At 40.5% G+C, this 2,743-nt stretch overlaps 1 pseudogene; it reads right to left on the bottom strand.

The window, feature by feature from the left end:
* Positions 1-611: 611 nt before the first annotated feature.
* On the bottom strand, positions 612-1,960 carry PGGT1BP2 (protein geranylgeranyltransferase type I subunit beta pseudogene 2; annotated as a pseudogene).

The following is a 2,743-nucleotide window of genomic DNA, read 5'->3' on the forward strand; positions in this document are numbered from 1 at the left end:
TCAGAGCAGCTAACACACTGGGGGCAACAAATTAAAAAATTCAAATGGCTAAAAATAAAAACACGAAGTATCTTTCCTTCTACATAGAAAAGATTGTTTTTTTTCTAGAAAGCCAAAAATAAGGCAACTAATGATTTGAGAATAAAATCAAACATAACTGGTATTCACCACAGCAATGTCTAAATAAATGACCCACATAACACAAAACTTCCTCATTCACAATCACATATAGTTAAGTTGCTTTTCCCTCAGTTACATAATAGTTGTCTTCAAACAATCTCCTTTTAGAAAACTATCACATTAGTTAAACCTATCTATTCTAACTATGAAGTTATTAATTTCATTTATATAGGCCACACAGGTTTAATTGGCACACTTTACTTAAAAATAAGACAAAATAAGTCACTCTGCTTTAAAAAAAAATTATGGTCATCTGTTTTCAAAGAATAATCCCAGATACTTAATTCATTAAGGCAAATTTTCTACCATCAGCAGTGAGCTTTTTAAATGATTACTAACTGTTCACCTGAAGATTATCAATGCTATATGAAGTGTAAATTTGTTTTGCAGATTTGTGTCCATTTTATAACAAGATACAATTTGCACTGAAGAGTTTTTAAAAAGATAACCTACACACATACACTTAATTTGCCTCAAACAACTTCTTTGAAATACAGTATAAACATTTAAGAACCATGACAAAGTTGTGGTTCAAACTTCAACAAAGATTTTCTTGAAACCCAGTACAAAGATTACTGGCTCAAGACCATACCCCAAAGTGACATCAGCAGGAGATTTGATTGTAAGACTCTACCTTTTAAAAAAAGAGCACACTTGGTTATACATGGCTTTTAAACTTGAGCTACAGTTATGCTACAAATCCCCCCACCTTCCCAATCTAAAGTCAGTCATGTAGAGATATGTACATTCTCTGAGCATTGTTTAAGAGTCCTTGGTTTTCCAGCTTTGATGGAGATCTAGAAGGCGTTCAGAAGTCTGTGTGCTTACATTCAGAGCAAGATGAACTTAACAAATTCCACTTTCCTCCATTAGTGACAGGCCACAGATCCCAAAGTATGCATGCAAAGCACCTGGATTACTGGCCACTTGGCAAATCCCCCTACAAGGCGATCTTGAGTTGATAAGATGTAATTTCTATTTTTCTCAAAGTTAGTGTATTGGAAAATTTTTAGAAGCTTTAGAGTTGCTCCCACCCAAAAAGAATAACCGGTGTCTACAGGCTTATTAGGTCTTCCACGATAACTATTTTGTTGCCTCATACACCACCTCTTTATCCTGTTCAATTCTTTTTCTGAAAAAACTTCTTCTAGTTTACCCATCAGACATAGTGAGGCAATGGCACAAAAAGTAGACCCTCCATGAGATTCAAGTCCAGCTCCCTGTGCCAGTCCATTGTCATAGGACATACTTCTTCTAATATAGGAGATGGCTTTTTTCATATCCATGCCTGACCGGTTGTTGAGCATATAGCAAATACAGGAAGTACAGTACAAAAATCGCATGTCATTTTCACTGCCTTCAGGTACTGCACAAAAACTCCCATCTTCCAGCTGAAGGGCTCTCAAGCCTGCTAAGCAAGCTTCTTTATTTACTCGGCTTAAGTCGTCTCCAAGAATAAGTAAGCATGAAAGGCCAGTGTAGGTCATTGCAATGTGGCCACTATCATAAGGATGAGCTGTTCCAGGAGCCTTTGATGGATTGAAAAGAATACCCAGGTATGAAGAGCCTCGGAAACCACAGCGATTTAGATTTGATCTGTCTTCTGTGGGAAAGACCTGCTTGTCTCAAGTGAAGAACAGCGCTCCGGCAAAACCTCGAGGCAGCGCTGGAAAAATCGCACGTGCAGATCCCGCAAGAAATCCAGCCGCTCTCCCTCACCGCTCCCTGCTAGCCTCTCCTCCTCAGTGGCCGCCATGCTGCTCCGGAAGCGACGTCGGCCTCGACCTAGATGATGTTATTAAGAGATGGAGTGAGTTTAGATAGAGAAAAAATGTACACCTGAGTCCTGAACCCTTTTTACCCCAAGGTTTAGAGATTAGACAGTATGAAGTACCTGCAAAGGAGATTAAGAAACTAGGTAGAAGGAAAACCTGGAGAGTGTTGTCAACTGAAAATACAATGAGGATATTTTTGTCAACAAGGAGAGAGTCATCAACTGTATGAAATGCTGCTGCTACTTGGGAGGCTGAGGTGGAAGGACCATTTGAATCCAGGAGGTTGAAGCTACAGTGAGCCACTGCCCTCCAGCCTGAGTGACAGAGCAAGATCTTGTCTCCAAAAAGAAACAAAAATGTTGCTGATAATTCAAGCAACATGAGTATGGAAAATTGACCATTGGATTTAGTGATTTGGTCATTGACAGTGTGGTTTCAGGAATGTGGTAGTGATAAGACACTGATTAGATAGGGTTCAAGTGTGAATAAGAGCAGAGAAATATAAAAAAGAGTAGATTTGGGAGGCCGAGGCGGGCAGATCGCGAGGTCAGGAGATGGAGACTATCCTGGCTAACATGGTGAAACCCCATCTCTACTAAAAATACAAAAAATTAGCCGGGCGTGGTCACGGGCGCCTGTAGGCCCAGCTACTTGGGAGGCTGAGGCAGGAGAATGGCGTGAACCCGGGAGGCTGAGCTTGCAGTGAGCCGAAATCGCGCCACTGCACTCCAGCCTGGGCAACGGAGCCAGACTCCGTCTCAAAAAAAAAAAAAAAAGTATAGAGAACT

This window comes from Homo sapiens, chromosome 10 (assembly GCF_000001405.40).
Source record: "Homo sapiens chromosome 10, GRCh38.p14 Primary Assembly".
Taxonomy (NCBI): Eukaryota; Metazoa; Chordata; class Mammalia; order Primates; family Hominidae; genus Homo; species Homo sapiens.